Genomic DNA, 16,406 nt, shown 5'->3' on the forward strand with positions numbered 1-16,406 from the left:
TATCTTGAACAACAACTACTTCTAAAAATTAAGAAAGCTAATTTCAAGTGTAAATGAGGAAACGAAGTATCAGATCTTAAAATTAACATCAGACAACAGATCAAGAAGCCAAGTAACATTCCTAAAATAATTAATGCACATTAGAAAAACATTACCACAAAAGAGATTAAAATTATAACCTAAAAAATAAAATAAAAAGCTAAACAACTATGAAAATGATACATGAAATGAAATTAATCAGAATTAGGAACACTCAAAAATTAGGTAATATATCTCTGGAAATATTATAAATAAAAGAAAAATATTTTAGAAATGAAGAGTAAACTAGAAGAACAAATGAATAAAAGCGCAACAGATAATACCTTAAAAATAGGAAGTAAGAAATATAAAAATTTAAAAATAAAAGCAAAGAGCAAATGAAAAACATTCTATTTTGTTTAAAATGACACTGTGTTCTTCAAAAATGTCAGTTTCATCTTCAATAAAATACCAGCAAACTGAATTCAGCAGCATATTAAAATGATTATATGCCATGAACAAAAGATACTTATTCCTGGAATTCAAGGATGATTCAACATACAAAAATCTATCAGTGTAATACTCCAGATTAATAGAACAAAGGAAATAAAGTCACACAATCATCTCAATTGATGCAGAAAAGGCATTTGACAAAATTCAACACTGCTTTGTGATTTAAAAAGAACATTTGACAAATCAGGAATTAAAGGAGATTTCCCAACATGATAAAAGCCATCCATATATGAAAAACCCCCTGATAACATCATGACAGTTTTTCAGAGCAATTAGGCAACAGAAAGAAATAAAAGCATCCAAATTGGAAAGAAAGAAGTAAAATGATCATTTGCAAATGACATGATCTTCTATGTAGAAAACCTTAAAGATTACACACTTACACAAACTGTTAGAACCAATAAGCAAATTTAGCAAAGTTGCAAGATACAAAGTCAACACACAAAAGTCAGTTGTGTTTCTGTACACTAACAATGAGCAATTCAGAAAGGAAAACAACTCCATTTACAATAACATCAAATGGAATAAAATACTTATGAATTAACTCAACCAAAGAGATAGAAGACCTGTACAATGAAAAATACAAAATATTGCTGAAAGAAATAAAGGAGACATAAATAAATGGAAAGATATCCTATGTTCATAGATTGGAAGACTTAATATTTTTAAGATGTCTATATTACCCAAAGCCATCTAAAGATTTAATGCACTCCCCATTAAAATCCCAATGGTGTTGTTTTGCAGAAATATTTTTTAAATTCTAAAATTTGTATGGAATTCAACAAACCCTGACTAGCCAAAAAAACTTGAAAAAATAAGAACAAAACAATAGTGAAAAAGATCAAAGTTGAAGGACTTCCTGATTTCAAAACGTACTACAAAGTTACAGTGATCACACTAATGTCTTTAGGTTAGTGTGGTACTAGTCTAAAGACAGACAGACCAATGGAATAGAATAGAGAGCTCAGAAACAAGCCCTCGCATATATGGTCAACTGATTTTCAACAAGGGTGACAAGACCATTCAATTAAAAGGACAGTCTTTTAAACAAACAGTGCTGAGAAAACAATATCCACATGCAAAAGGATGAAATTGGATTCTTACTGTATACAAAAAATAAAGTGGATGAAAGCTCTAAATGTAGGTACTAAAACTATAAAACTCTTATAAGAAAACATGGAGGAAAAGCTTCATGACATTGGGTTTGGCAATGAATCTTTGGATATGACAGTAAAAACACAGCAATAAAAGAAAAAATAAATTGGACACTGATATTAAAAACTTTTGTACATCAGAGGATACTATCAACAGGATAAAAAGGCAACCTACAGAATAGGAGAAAATATTTGGAAATGATATATATCTGATAAGGCATGAATTTCTGGAATATGCGGAGCTCCCCTACAACACAACAACAACAAACCAATCCAATTCAAAAATGGGCAAAGGGCTTGAATAGACATTCCTCCAAAGAAGATATACAAATGACCAAAAAGCACCTAAAAAATTCTCACCAACACTAATCATTAGGAAAATGCAAATCAAAATCACAATGAGATACCAATTCACACCATTGAAATGGCTATGATAAAAAAACAAACAAACAAACAAAACAGAAAATAACAAGTGCCAGCAAGGATATAGATAAATTGGAACTCTTGTGCATTGCTAATGGGAATGTAAAATGGCAAAGCCACTGTGGAAAATAGCATGGCAGTTCCTCAAAATCTTAAACATAAAATTACCATATCATTTACCAATTTCACTTGAGTATATTCTCAAAATAATTAAAAGTAGTGGTTTGAACAGATATTTGTACATCAATGTTTATAGCACTGTTATTATAGCCAAAAGGTGAAAACAATCCAAATGTCCTTTGACAGATGAATAGATAAAAAAAATTTATATATATATATATACACACACACAATGGGATGTTTTCAGCCTTAAAAAGGAATGAAATTCTGATACATTCCACAACATGGATGAACCTTGAAAACATTATGGTAAGTGAAATAAGTCACACATAAAAGGACAAGTATTATATGATTCTGCTTATATGAAGTACCTAGAATAGACAAATTCATAGAGAAAAAAATTAGAATAGTGGTTACCAGAGGCTGAGGGGAGGAGGTGTATAGTTTTTGTTTAATGGGTTCAGAGTTTCAGGTTGAGATGATGAAAAAGTTCTGAAGATGAATAGGGGTGATTGTTGCACAACAATGTGAAAATACTTAATGCCACTTAACTGTATGCTTAAAAATGGTTAAAATAGTAAATTTTATATTATGTATATTTATCACGATAAAAAGTCAATGTCTTGAAAGACAACAAAGGCTGTAGAAATGAATCAAATTAAAGAAGAACACAAAAGCAATTTAAAAGTTGAATAAAATGTTAACAATGGGAGAATCTGGGGTAAAGTTACAACAATTTTATTCTTGCGGCTATTCTATAAAGTTATTTCCAAATAAAAAAAGTTTTTAAAAATGAAGAAAGAGATTAAAAGAATTCAAAACAAAGTGACAAATAAAGACTACAGACAAAGAAGATCCAACATAGCATAATAGCATAATAACAGTCCTGGGGAAAAAAGGAAACATAACAAACACTAAAAATTATAATTTTACAAAATTCCTGAAATAAAATTGAATTTATATTGTGAAAGGGAATATAATTTACTAAGTATATTAACCCAGAATGACAAACACAAAGTCCAGTAAAACTGCTATATTATAAAGGAAGTGAAAAAAACTCTAATTAGGCAAAAAGATCAAGTGATTCTTAGGGAAAGAAAACCATGTTATAGCCAGCCCTTTGACATTTTATGCTAAGAAAAGAAAATGTAAATAAAGTATCTTAGACCCAGGAAAAATTTATTTTCAACTATAAAGACGACCATCAACCTGTTATTAACATTCAAGGACCCAGAAAATATTGCTTCCATGACTAATTCCTAAATAATCTTCTGGAAAACAGGCTTCAGACAACCTAAATGACAAGAGAGAAATTGACATTAAAAACTGGCAGTATTGGTAAATATATATTTACTAATAGAATAAGATTCAATCATGGATAAAAGAGAGTGTGTATAATGTCTACACAGTCCCTCGCAATATAGATAACAAAAAGAAAAAGAATAGAAAAGGCATAATAACCCCAAATTTTATTATTTTTGTTTTTATTATATTGGTATTTTATTCTAAGACTTTTGTGTGGATAATGTAAATGAGTAATTATGTCATATTCTAACATCCGTGTGTAATTGGGCACCAGAATTGTCAGTAAGGAAAAAAGAAAATACAAAAGTAACATACAAGATATCAAGTGAAAATCCTATGGAATTTGAAGTAACAGAATAAATAAAAAAAAATTTTATCTTTAGATAATATAAGCGTATGTCTGGATTTGTTGGGTTTTTTTTGTTTGTTTTTGAGGCGGAGTCTTGTTCTCTCACCTAGGCTGGAGTGCAGTGGCACGATTTCGTCTCACTGCACCCTCTGCCTCCTGGGTTCAAGTGATTCTTGTGCCTCAGCCTACTGAATAGCTGGAATTACAGGCGCTCTCGACCACACCTTATTAATTTTCATATTTTTAGTAGAGACAGGGTTTCACCATGTTGGCCATGCTGGTCTTGAACTTCTAGCCTCAAGCGATCCACCTGCCTTGGCCTCCCAAAGTGCTGGGATTACAGGTGTGAGCCACTGCACTTGGCCTGTTTTGTATATATGTCTGTACATGTATATGTATATGTGTATGTATATGCATATGTATGGGAGTGTGTGTGTGTGTGTGTGTGTGTGTGTGTGTATTTTCTAACCATGCTCATTGAAAAGGTCTAGAATAGAAGATCAACCTAGTAGCAATGTGTATTCTTTGTCTCCAAATTTTGGTTTTGAAATACGATTTTCCAATAAAAAGAACCAAAGCTTCTCAGAGAAAAGGTTAGTTCCAGGTCAGAGCAAGAAATATTCAAAATGAGCTTAAAACATCTTGTTATGCCCGATAACAAACATGACAGATTTCAAAAAGTGGCTGCAAAAATATTTCCTATTTCACATACTTTTTTCCAATGTGACCTTGCCATCAATAAGTGGACTTTTTCTCAGCCTTTTTTAATCTGGGAGAGTTCTATGACTGCTTTGATGAAAAGAGTATGGAGGAAAAGACCCTATCCCAGTTCCAGCAGTAGATCTTAACTGGTCTAGCAGCTTGCATTTTATACCTCTTAGAATGTTTGCTCTTGGAAAATTCTATCTTGGAACCCAGCTACCATTCTATGAAAAGCCAAGCCATCTTGAGAAGTCATGTGTAGGTGGTCGGTCCCATTGACAACCTCAAATGAGCTGCCAGCCAACAACCAGCATCAACTGCCAGTCAGGTAAGTGAGTCCTCTTGGTCATTCAGCCAAGTTGAGCTTTTGGATGACTACGTCCTCAACTAGCAATTGACTACAAATTTATAATATACCCCGTGGTAGGCAGAAAATGTCTCCCAAAGATGTCAATTTCCTAATCTCCATAATCTGTGAATGTTATGTTACATGGCAAAGGGTATTCTGATCGCTAATCACCTGACCTTAAAATAGGGAGATTATTCTGAATTATCAGAGTGGGCTTAATGTGATCACAAGAGTTCTGAGCAGTGGAAGAGGGAGGCAAAAGAGGAGTGTGGAGTGCTGGGATGTCAGAAGGATTAGGCCTGCCACTGCTAGCTTTGAAGATAAAAGAAAGACAGCATGAGCTAAGGACTATAGGCAGCTTCTAGAAGCTGGAGAAGGCAAAGAAACCGATTATCTCCTAGAGCCCTGAGAAAGGAATACAGCCCTGTCAACACTGTGATTTTAGCCCAATGAGATTAAATTCTGATTTTTGACCTTCCAAAACTATAAGATAGATTTACATTGTTTAAACCATTAAATTTGTGGTAATTTGTTACAGCAGTGATAGGAAATTAATATAGGCCCCAAGTGAGAACTACCCAGTAGAGCCCAGTCGACTCATAGAAACATGAGAAATAATTTTTAAAAATGAAGTTTGAACCACTAAGTTTTACTGCATAGCAATAGATAACTGGAATAGCAAGGAAGTTACCAAGTCTATTAGGCTATCTGAATAGAATTCATAAGCCAAACTGAAAAGGTTTCCATTAGGCAAAGGGGGAATAAATGGAGCATCAATAAGGATAACACTTTAATAGAGTAAATGATCAAATACATTTAAATTCATAACTTCATAAAGATACAACAAAATTGATCACCTTTGCAGGATGTCAAAGAATAAATTCATTATTTGTAAAACTGTTAGGTTAAAAAAAAAACTCAAACACTTAGCCTACTCCTCTTATACTATCAAATACCAGAAGAGGAAAATTTTTTTCTTTATGTAATTTTTCCAGTAACAAAGGAAAGAGTGATTGAATTTGAATATATCTCTACCATGCAATCTGTAAGTAATTAATGGACTTAGGCATTGAGAATTAGTGGCAGCAAAAATTGCAAAAAGAAGTTCCATCCGATAACATGCATATCCTGCTGGGGGAACACACCACCACAATAAAGTAGCCTTGGAAAAAAGAAAAGAAGAGAACGACCTGAGTCTTATGTCTGATAAAGCCTCTGGGTCAACTACCAATTTATGGCAAACACAAAGAACAAAGGAGAGAGGAATACATTAAACTATTAGTACACCAAAAAGATAAAGTCAACAAAATCCAGCATAGGGAATTCTGCATATAAATTTCTTTGTTTCTTCAATAAATAAAATGCAAACAGGGAAAATGGATGGAGGGGGAAGCCTGTAGATTAAAAAACACTTAAAAGACATAATTTAAAGCTAAAACTAAAGTACAGCATTGAAGGATGTCCCCTTGGATAATACAATTAAAAAGATAGAGTTAAAGGGTCTAATCCTGGAGCACTTCAACATCTGGAGATGGATAGAGATGGAGGAGTCAGAAAAGGAATTGAGGAATGACCAGAGAAGCAAGAGGTGAAGCAGGCTGGTATCATAGAGGCCAAGAGAAAAGCATGCTCTGGATGGGGTAGTTGTCAACTGAATCAAATGTTGTCATGAAGTCAATAAGATGAAAATTGAGAAGTGGTCATCAGATTTGCCAGCACACAGTTCATTGGTGACCTTGCTAAAAGCAGTGTCAGAGGAGTTGAGGGCAAAGCTAAATCAAATGAGTGACAGTAACTGGAAGATGAAAAGAGACATTTAATGGCTATTGGCAACTCTTTAAAAATGTTTGCTTGAGAAGAGGAGCAGAGATACAGCCTGGTAGCTAGGGGACAATACGGGGTTAATGGAGATTTCTTTTTAAAGTGGAGTTTATTCTAGCATATTTGTATGCTGAGAGAGAGCTTGAAGATATAGAAGAGAAAAAGAATAAACAAAAAAGAAAAATTCTTGCAGAGTTGAGATGGGATGAAACCCAAAACACACATGGAAACATTGGTCTCTGATAGAGGGAGGGTTTCTCCCTCTGCTAGAGGATGCAAAAGTAAATGCCCATTTGGGTGTATTTGCAGATTTGGTGGTAGGGAGGTAAGGGAATTTCTACTAGATGGATTACATTCTTTCCTTTCAGTTTGAAACAAGCCCATCGTCTTCAAAGATGTGGAGCTGTATCAGGATATCCCATTTATTAACCATGGGATTGAGGGTAGTGGTTTTTAAATTTTTTTTGGACCATTACCCACTAATAAATATATTTTTCTTATGACCCACTATACAGAAACACAGATAATTGAAATAAACTTTCATGGCCCAGTGCTTACTCCTATTAGGTATGTTCTCTTTTCTTTCTTTTTCAAGCCTGCTAGGCAAACTAGACTGGCAAGAGCCACAACCTTTTGAAGCAGAGCACAAGGGTTGGGGAGGAGGAAAATAAAGGGGATCCTATCCCATGTCAGGGTAAATATGACTCCCGAGCAGGGACTGGCCTTCCTGTCTCAGAAATACATGTAAATTAAGGATATTAAATCAGAAACTGGCTAACAAGATTATTTCCAATACACTTATATGCTAAAAGATTGTTTTCATAATTTTCTAAATTTTTTTCATTTCATTGGGAATTCATAGCATTGACCTATTATAGTATATAAGTAAAACACTTATGTAAACATTAAAGAATAATTAGACAGATCCTCTAATCACTACCCTGGTTAAGCAATAAAACGTTTTCAGTAACTTGGAAGCCCCTACTCCCAACTGTCTCTGCATCTCTGAGAGGTAATCATAACCTTGATTTTAATTTTAATCATTCTATTTTTCTCTATTATTTTGCCACTTATGCATATATCCCTAAATAATATAGGTTAGTTTGCCCTGCTTTTGTACCTTAGATAAATAAAATACTACACAGTATGCATGCTCTTGTTTCTGGCTCCTTTCACTAAATATGTCCATGGTGCTATTTTTATTCATTTTCATTGCTGGATGCAATTCGTATTTGAATACACCACATTTTTTATATTTATTTACTGTTGATGAACATTCTGCTTGTTTTCATTTGGGAATCCTAGTTTATGTCCTCCTACACACATGCAGGAGCTTCTCAAGAGCATCTATCTAGCAGTAGAATTGCTGGATCAGAGTATGAATGCTTTCAACCTTATCAGATAAGTTCAAATGCTTCCAATTTACACTCCCACTACCAGTAGGTGTTTCCCATCGTTCTATATTATCACTACATGATATTGTTAGATTTCTTGACATTGTTGCCCATCTGGTGGGTATATATTGATAATTCATTGGGGGCTTTAATTGGTACTTCTATCTTTTCATATGTTCATTAGCCATTTGGATTTCAGATTTCTTTATTCAATTTTGTTTTATTTTAAAAAATGCTGGTTAGATCTGATCTTTGACAAACCTGAAAAAAAATGGGGAAAGGATTCCTTATTCAATAAATAGTCCTTGGAGAACTGGCTAGCCATATGCAGAAAATTGAAAGTGGACTCCTTCCTTACATCTTTTACAAAAATGGACTCAAGATGGATTAAAGATGTAAATGTAAAACCCCAAACCATAAAAACTCTAGAAGAAAATCTAGGCAATACCGTTCAGGATAAAGGCACAGGCAAAGATTTCATGATGAAAATGCCACAAGCAATTGCAGCAAAAGCAAAAATTGACAAATGGATCTAATTAAACTAAAGAGCTTCGTACAGTAAAAGAAATTATCATCTGAGTGAATACAGAACCTACAGAATGGGAGAAATTTTTTGCAATCTATCCATCTGACAAAGGTCTAATACCCAGAGTCTACAAGGAACCACCACGTGTCAGTTGATTGTTCTCAAAATGGTGGTGCTATCCCTCACAGTACTATCACCAGCTACTAGTCTGACTGTTGGGAAAACGTAAAGGGGATACTATTCAGCTGGAATTTGAGTGTGATCCTCTGGACATCAGTGTGGATGTTGATGTTGGAAAGGATCTGTGGACTCTGAGGAATATTGGTGTCATGCTGTTTAGAGAGGGTATGCTCTGACATGGCAGGGCTTTCTTGGGTCTATGTCTGAGGCGTCACATCAAGCAAACTGAGGACCCATAAAGGAAAACTGTAACCCTGGGAGATACTGTAAGGATAAACACTAATGCTCACTACTCTCTAGCTCTTGTTAAACACTCCTTCCTCTCTTTTTATGAGATGTTATGACGAGGCAACAAAAAGGGTGTTAGAATGAATTTTGGAATGCAGATAAAGATATTGCCCATAGAATCTTTTGTGAAGATTTATTCTAACGGGACTGTACTTGTATTTTTTATTTCCATGATGTTGGGGACAATCATAAAGTCAAAGATTCCACTAGTTGGATTGGGCTTTTTTTTTTTTACATTATTCCAGTAATTGCACAGAGGCTGCAACCCCTGGGAGGTAGGTGGGAAATGTCAGGGAGCTGCAATAGACAGAAAAAGGAGTGGGGTAATCTTAACTGTAACAATGGCAACTTTCAACAACACTAACTTGTTATTCTGCTTGAAAAATTATTTTTTAGAAATAGTCAAATATTTATGTTTGAGTTTTATTTTAAATGCTCCTTTTCTATAAAATCATCTAAATATTTAATAGATAATTTGGAATTTTTGACAGCATTCCAAATATTATGAAATTTTAAATATTTCTTCTAAACAATCACACAAATATATATATTTCCAAACCAAAACAGATATTCCCATGCTTGAAATGCTATTTCTAATTTCTAATTTATTCTTAAGGGCTAATTTGCAAAATGAAATTGTTTGGATGATTGGTTTGCAGTAAACATGGTGTACCAAATTGGTTTCTAAATTTAGAGAAAGGTTGAGTCTCCTCTTATAATAATCAAGAAATAATAGAAGTATTAATGATAATGAAGCTTCCATAATTAAAAAGTCAAATTCTGAAATAACAAGCAGAAATGAACATTAGCAGGTAGCAGCTACATAATTTATAATTCTCACAAAGTTATTTTGAGCTCTTTTTATAGGATAACATAACCTCCAACATGTAGTTTACTAAATTATAGTATAAGTACTATATGTGCCATAATTAAGTTCCATAATTTGGGGGAATTTAGTACTATTAAATATAACTTAAAGATACAGGAAATATAGTGCATAAAATTCTAAGAATCACAAAAGAAAGGCAAAGTTGTTTTAATAGATGCTATGATTTCTATGTCTGATATTTCAAACATTTTAGAAAGTAGTAATTATTATTATCCATATACATGTTTTCAAAGAAAAATGCTCTTTACATATAGAATTTGAGGATGAGCTCTATATTTTAAATACAGTAGACTCCATGTCCTTTCTTGGAGGTTTTTGAGGACTAATTTTTGGTAATATCTCTTTAGCATAAAGTGTTCTATGAAGTCCAGCTTCTCGAAGTGCTAACTCGAAGCGAAGTCTAGGGTCAGAAATTATCTGTAGAAATAAAAATACAATTTAAATAACAATTCATTGAACTAAAATAACTTTTAACATTTAGTTCCATGTTTTCCCAAACTAATTTGTTTTTACTGGACAGATGACTAGGTGACAGTAAACTGTGAATACAGTGACTATATTTTGGAAACATCTAAACCTTTTTGACATTATCACTTTTCAGTACATCAGTGGTTTCCCATGTAGGGTATATAGAACATAGTGTACTAGATTAGTCAAAATATAATGCGTTAAAATTATTAAAAGATGAAGTAAAAGAAGCTTACTTTCAGTGCTACTATTGATTTATCACTTATTGCTGGCTGGAATTATAAAATACAGATAATCATTGATTAAAATAAATCTAAGCCACAAAAAAAGCATCTTAATTTCTCCATCATCTGGCAATATGTAAATTAAGTTTAAACACATGGCCACCACTTGAAAAACAAAATCAATAGAACTTTTCTTCCAAGGCTGGATTTCTATTTCAAACAGAAGTAGAAAATGCCTCCATCGATCTGATTCTAAGTGGAAGTAGACATATGAGTAGTTCAACTTCTGTTTTCATTTATAGCTGATTGGATCTTATTCCTCTTCCCCTCCTCCTATGAATATTAAATGTCAACAGAGACTGTTTGAAATGATAAGAAGGTGGCCACATATGGATTTTACCTAATGAGGCATTTTACATGGATTTGAAGTCCCCCTAGAGGATGTGATAATAAGCTAGTAAAAGCAGCCCCTCCAGGAGCTCTTAGGCGAACTGGGGCAATAAAAATGTACACAGATAACTACAGATTATGGCAACATGTGGCAGATGCCCTAAAAGTAGTAAAACATGGGGGTGCATCTCCTGGTGGTGGCGGCATGCGGATGGTCTCAGGTGAAGATGAGCAATTGAACTACCCTTAAAGTCCAACTTAGTCTATAAAGCAGACTGGGGAGGAAGAGAGACCTAATGAGAAAGGAAGACACCTACAAACTCAGAGGTGAAATAGGCCAACTTGGGATAAGGGTGGTTTGAGCAGAGTACTGGTTACCATTGAGGAACACTGGAAACAGATGCTTCTCAGACTAGGACTTGAACTTAAAAGGCTTGCATGGCCATGCCGAGTCTAAGGAGCTACTAGGGTATGTTTGTTTCTAGTTTTTGCATAAAAATAATATAATCATTGTAGTTGCATAGGAAGATGGGTCTGATTGTAAGTTCAGAATAAATTAAGGTGGCAGGGAAAGAAGAAATGGAGGCCGAGAGAGTGGTTAGGAATTTACTACAATTGTCTAGACATAAAGTAATAAATGTCTGAACTTGGCTGGTAGCAAGGAAGAGATAATTGTCAGAAACACTATGAAAACAAGAATCAATAGCACTTGGCAGTTGATCAGATACAGGGCTTGGGGCAACGATGAGTATGAAGTCAAGAATAATACAGAGATTTGTGTCTGAGAAGCAATAAATATGAGCCTAAGACCCAGGTTTTTCCTCTTCTGTCTCAATGTCTTCTCCCTGGTCTGCTCTCATGTGCTCCAGTGATTCATGTGCAACCTGTATGCCATTGACTCCCAAATTACATCTAGGACTCACCTCTCTTTTCAGTTCCATGTTGTGAGGCTTAAATTTTTTTTTATTATTCAATTTTTGCATAGCTAGAGAGTGAAATGGAGATCTCCCCTCTACCGGAACTTCCATCTTCCCAATTCCCTTCCCCACAGGCAGCCCATCAGTTTCTTGTAAATATGTACTAGATATTTTTACCCTAAACATGGTATAAGTAAAACAAATTCTCTCTTTCCCTAAATCTGTTTTTCTTTCTGTATTCTTAAATGGTTAATGGCAGCACCACCAGATGATTATAATTTACTGAATTACTACTGGGTACCAAGAAATATTTTAGGCAGTGGACATTTATTATCTCTAATGCTCACAAGGACTTTGTAAATAATTATTTTACAGATGAGGAAAACAAGGCATAAAGACGTAAATAGCTTATACAAATGCACCCAGCCAATAAACAGCGGATGTGGATTTGAATCCAAAACACCAGCTCTTAATATTACTTGTTGTCTAGCTTCGAATCATCCTTACTTTCTTTGTCCTCTCCCTTTCTCAGCCAGAGCCATTCATGACCCCACCACCACCACTACTTCTATGAAGGCTCTGCCATTTTAAAAGGAACTCACCCCAACCCATGCCCACCCCCACCAATTTTCCATTCAGGACACATAGCTAAAACATAAGTCTGATTACAGTTGTGTGTCACATAATGACAGGGATACATTCTGAGAAACGTGTCCTTAGGCAATTTTGTTGTGTGAATGTCATAGCATGTACTTACATAAACTGAGATGGTACAGCCTTCTACACACCTAGGTTATATGATATAGGCCATTGCTCCTAGGCTACAGCCTGTACAGCATTAGTGTGCTCATTACTGTAGGAAGTAATGAGCTGTTACTGTGCTCATTACTGTAGGAAGTTGTAACACAATGCTAAGTACTTGTGAAACTAAACATACAAGAGGAAATGCATTGTGCTATGATGTTAAGACACTACTAGGCAATAGAAAATTTTCAGATCAATTATAATCTTAAGGGACCACCAACATATATGTGGTCTGTCTTTGACCAAAACACTGTTATGGGGCACATGACTGTATATAATTTAAAGCTTCAAAGTCTGGCATCTGCATACAGATGCCTTAGTAGCAAGGCCTACTTGCTACTACTGGTCAAATGCCTTAGTAGCAAGACCTACTATGCTTTTCAGCGCCTGAACCTAACACATGTTTCCAGTCTCCTCTCCCAGCACTTGTCATGCACCCCTTGTCATGTATCTTACACTGAAGACATACTAGGAAAAAGCCTTGCCCCACCCTCTTCCGCTTGGTCAAACCCAGAGGTGAAATAGGTCAACCGAGTATAAGGGTTAGCCCAGCGGCCTGAGACTTTTTAGCTTCTGATTTCAATCCTTTCAAGCCTCAGCTATTCTCCCCACTTCAGCAGCTAGGATCTAGAGACACCTCTTAAACCTTGTAATTAATCCTTCTCCCTATGTATCCTCCCCCACAACCTATTTTTGTTGTTATTATCGTAAATCATCTGGAGTGGATTTTGCTACTGCTTCCAAAAATCTTTGACTAAGATAGGGCTCAGAAGTTTCCTCTCTGACACCTTCTCTGACTTCTCCAGTCGGGGTTAGCCATTCATTCCCTTCTTCTTCCTAGGGCAACCCTTAGACATTCATTACAGAGTTGATCCCACCCTGGTGGCATTGTTGCTACACATGCTACTTTCCTTCCCCAGTAGGCTCTTTTGCTCACTTCCTCCAGACAAGATCAGCCTATCTTGCTCTGATGTAGCCCAGGCACCATACGCAGAGCCAGAATATAATATATGTTCCATAAATATTGGTTCAATTAATAAATGAATTATGCCTCTTTAGAGTCCCTAGCAAAGTATGCCGCACAAAGTAGAGACATAAGCGGATGAATGGATGGTTTCCTGGTTTTTAAATAATTAAATAATTATTTAGCTTCTCTCCTTAGATTTGTAAAACTGACAACTACTTTCTCTCTTAATTTCAGTGACTGATATATCATCCATCCACCCATCCATCCATCCATCCATTCATCTGTTTTCCCTCCTACCTTCCATCCCTCAATCCATCCATCTAAAAGATCTTTTAAAATCCTTTCTCAGTTACAGGCACAGATTCTCAGGCACAGATTAAAATGAACCCTAGGTTCCTAGAAATGGTTAAATAAGCCCTTAACACCTTTTTCCGTAAAAAATGTTTTATCATTAGCTCTGATGTATTATCTTCTGTTCATTTTCATTTCTAAAAACTTTCCTCTGCTTTGTCATCAGTATCAGTTGTTTATTAATATAATTTATATTATGAATTTAAATATAATTCTTAATGTAACAGATAAACATTTAAACAACAAAATACAATATTAATACAGAGCTCTCAAATAAAATTTTATAAAGCATTTTTAAAAAAATTTAAAAAATAAGCTTCAATGACAGATTTATAACATTTTTAGGTAACCTCTTGTTCTATGGTAGCCTATTAACTAGTTTGTAATATTAAGAATTATGTAGTAATTATGTACTATCATTTAGAAGTAAAAATTATGCTAATATGTAAGATATTCAAATGTAAATATTGAAAACTGTTGTAACCCCAAACACACACTTCTACAGTCCTTACCATCATCATGGCTTTTTCATCAGTCATGCTAATTTCCATAATTACCTGCTGTTCATTGTATGTATTCAATGTGAAGAGTGGCTTTTGAAGAATAAATTCTTCTTCAATTTCAATGCCCATTCTAGCTTTTGATGCCATTGTATCTGACATCATTCTAACAGGATCAAATTGAGCAACAACAGCAACCTAAAAATGAGAAAGCATGGCTACTTGGAACAAGGTACAAACTAAATATTTCTGGGCAACATTATTGATGTCTAATGCCCATTAAAGTTAAGAAATTTTATTAAAGGTAAAGCCTGAGAGGAAAGGGCAGAAGAAATATTAATTGGTCAGTCCTAGAGATCCACAAAGGAGTTAAAACAAAACAAGACAATACATATAAGACAAAATATTAAAATGCCTTGGCATATAGTTATTTGCTAATGATTGAATAATTATAATTAATTTCAGAAAACAATTTATCTTTCTGATATGAAGTCACAGGAAATCTCATATAGAAAACCTTACATATTCAACCAACTTGAAAGTCACAGAAAGTAAAAAAAAATTCACTTTTTGACCATTAGCAATTTATGGTTATGGTAACAACCCCATGAAGTTTCCTAGGAAGTTTAACCTGATTGAACTGGATCTAGAGCATATAATTCTTGGGTCAAGTGTGTTGGCATTAGTGAACAAGGTGGGTGAATTTCCTTTGTACCAGGCAACTAGATTTCCAGGGACTGCTATAAACCATTGTCCTCCTTCTACTGAAAAATTGCAAAGTCATTTTAACCCAAATGCCCTTGTCTTTTATAATTCAAACCTGCATCTTAATGAAAAGAAGTCACTAATTTTGTAAATGATATGCACCATTAGTAACACCTGCCTATTAATTCTGAAAGTCAAGAATTAGCATGAAGAAAATGGCATTCTTAATGCCATTTAAAGACTGTAATAAAATAACTGAGGGTTGAACATGCTTTAATTATTTTAGGTTTGCTAGCTAAAATAGCTTACATCACAGTTCTAAATACTGATTATAGATAAGAGATAACAGCTATTTCCTCTTTCAAAGCATTCACAGATGGAAAGAATTCTAATCATATAGACTGTAGTTATCAAAGTTATGTTTTGAACAAGAATGTGTTCAGTAATAGTGACATTAAGTCTTGTACCCAGAAGGCCATGATATATAAGTTGAATAACTAAAATTTTGTAGGATCCAGGATTACCAGGACTTACATTCCTATGCTTTAAATTTATCTTTATAATCTTTTTTTATCAAAGAAGATGATGATATAATAGTCGTATGCATTTATGCCACATCTATACCATCTCATTTAGCTAGACTTCCTTGGTTTGAATCAGTATAACATTTACTAGCTGTGTGACTTTGAAGAAAGCACCTAACCTCGGTGTCTCCTCTGTTTCCTCTCCTATAAAATGGGGATATTAATATTGCCCACGTCATAAAGTTGTTGTAGAAATTGAAGTAATACCTAACAGCATTTAGAAGAGGGCTTTACACTTAGTAAATAATAAATTTGAACTCACATTATTGCAAACCTATCAGACAGATCCTATTATTCCCATTTTTCAGATGAAGAAATAAAGCTTACGGAGGTTAAGTAAATGACCTGTTTCCAGTGCCGGTGAGTACACAACCAGCTTGTACCAGGTTGGAAGGACACCAGAGGCCAAGTTCTTATCCATGATTCTGTGTTCCCTCCAGCAACACAGGAGGGAAACCAAGTAGT

General features: G+C 34.5%; 1 protein-coding gene and 1 long non-coding RNA gene across 3 annotated transcripts in view; one reads left to right on the plus strand and one right to left on the minus strand.

The window, feature by feature from the left end:
• Positions 1–4,838: 4,838 nt before the first annotated feature.
• CCDC148-AS1 (CCDC148 antisense RNA 1) overlaps positions 4,839–16,406 on the plus strand; it is a 69,520-nt gene continuing 57,952 nt past the window's right edge. The window contains exons 1-3 of the long non-coding RNA NR_038850.1: positions 4,839–4,912; positions 14,790–14,884; positions 16,250–16,301. This is a non-coding gene — a long non-coding RNA (CCDC148 antisense RNA 1). The remainder of the gene's footprint in view (positions 4,913–14,789; positions 14,885–16,249; positions 16,302–16,406) is intronic.
• CCDC148 (coiled-coil domain containing 148) overlaps positions 9,262–16,406 on the minus strand; it is a 285,681-nt gene continuing 278,536 nt past the window's right edge. For both annotated transcript variants that reach the window (NM_001301684.2, NM_138803.4), the window contains 2 exons: positions 14,710–14,850; positions 9,262–10,448 (listed from right to left, as the gene is read on the minus strand). In NM_001301684.2, the coding sequence (NP_001288613.1) occupies positions 10,302–10,448; positions 14,710–14,850 (288 nt within the window). In that variant the 3' untranslated portion in view covers positions 9,262–10,301. The remainder of the gene's footprint in view (positions 10,449–14,709; positions 14,851–16,406) is intronic.

Source organism: Homo sapiens, chromosome 2, assembly GCF_000001405.40.
Source record: "Homo sapiens chromosome 2, GRCh38.p14 Primary Assembly".
Taxonomy (NCBI): domain Eukaryota; kingdom Metazoa; phylum Chordata; class Mammalia; order Primates; family Hominidae; genus Homo; species Homo sapiens.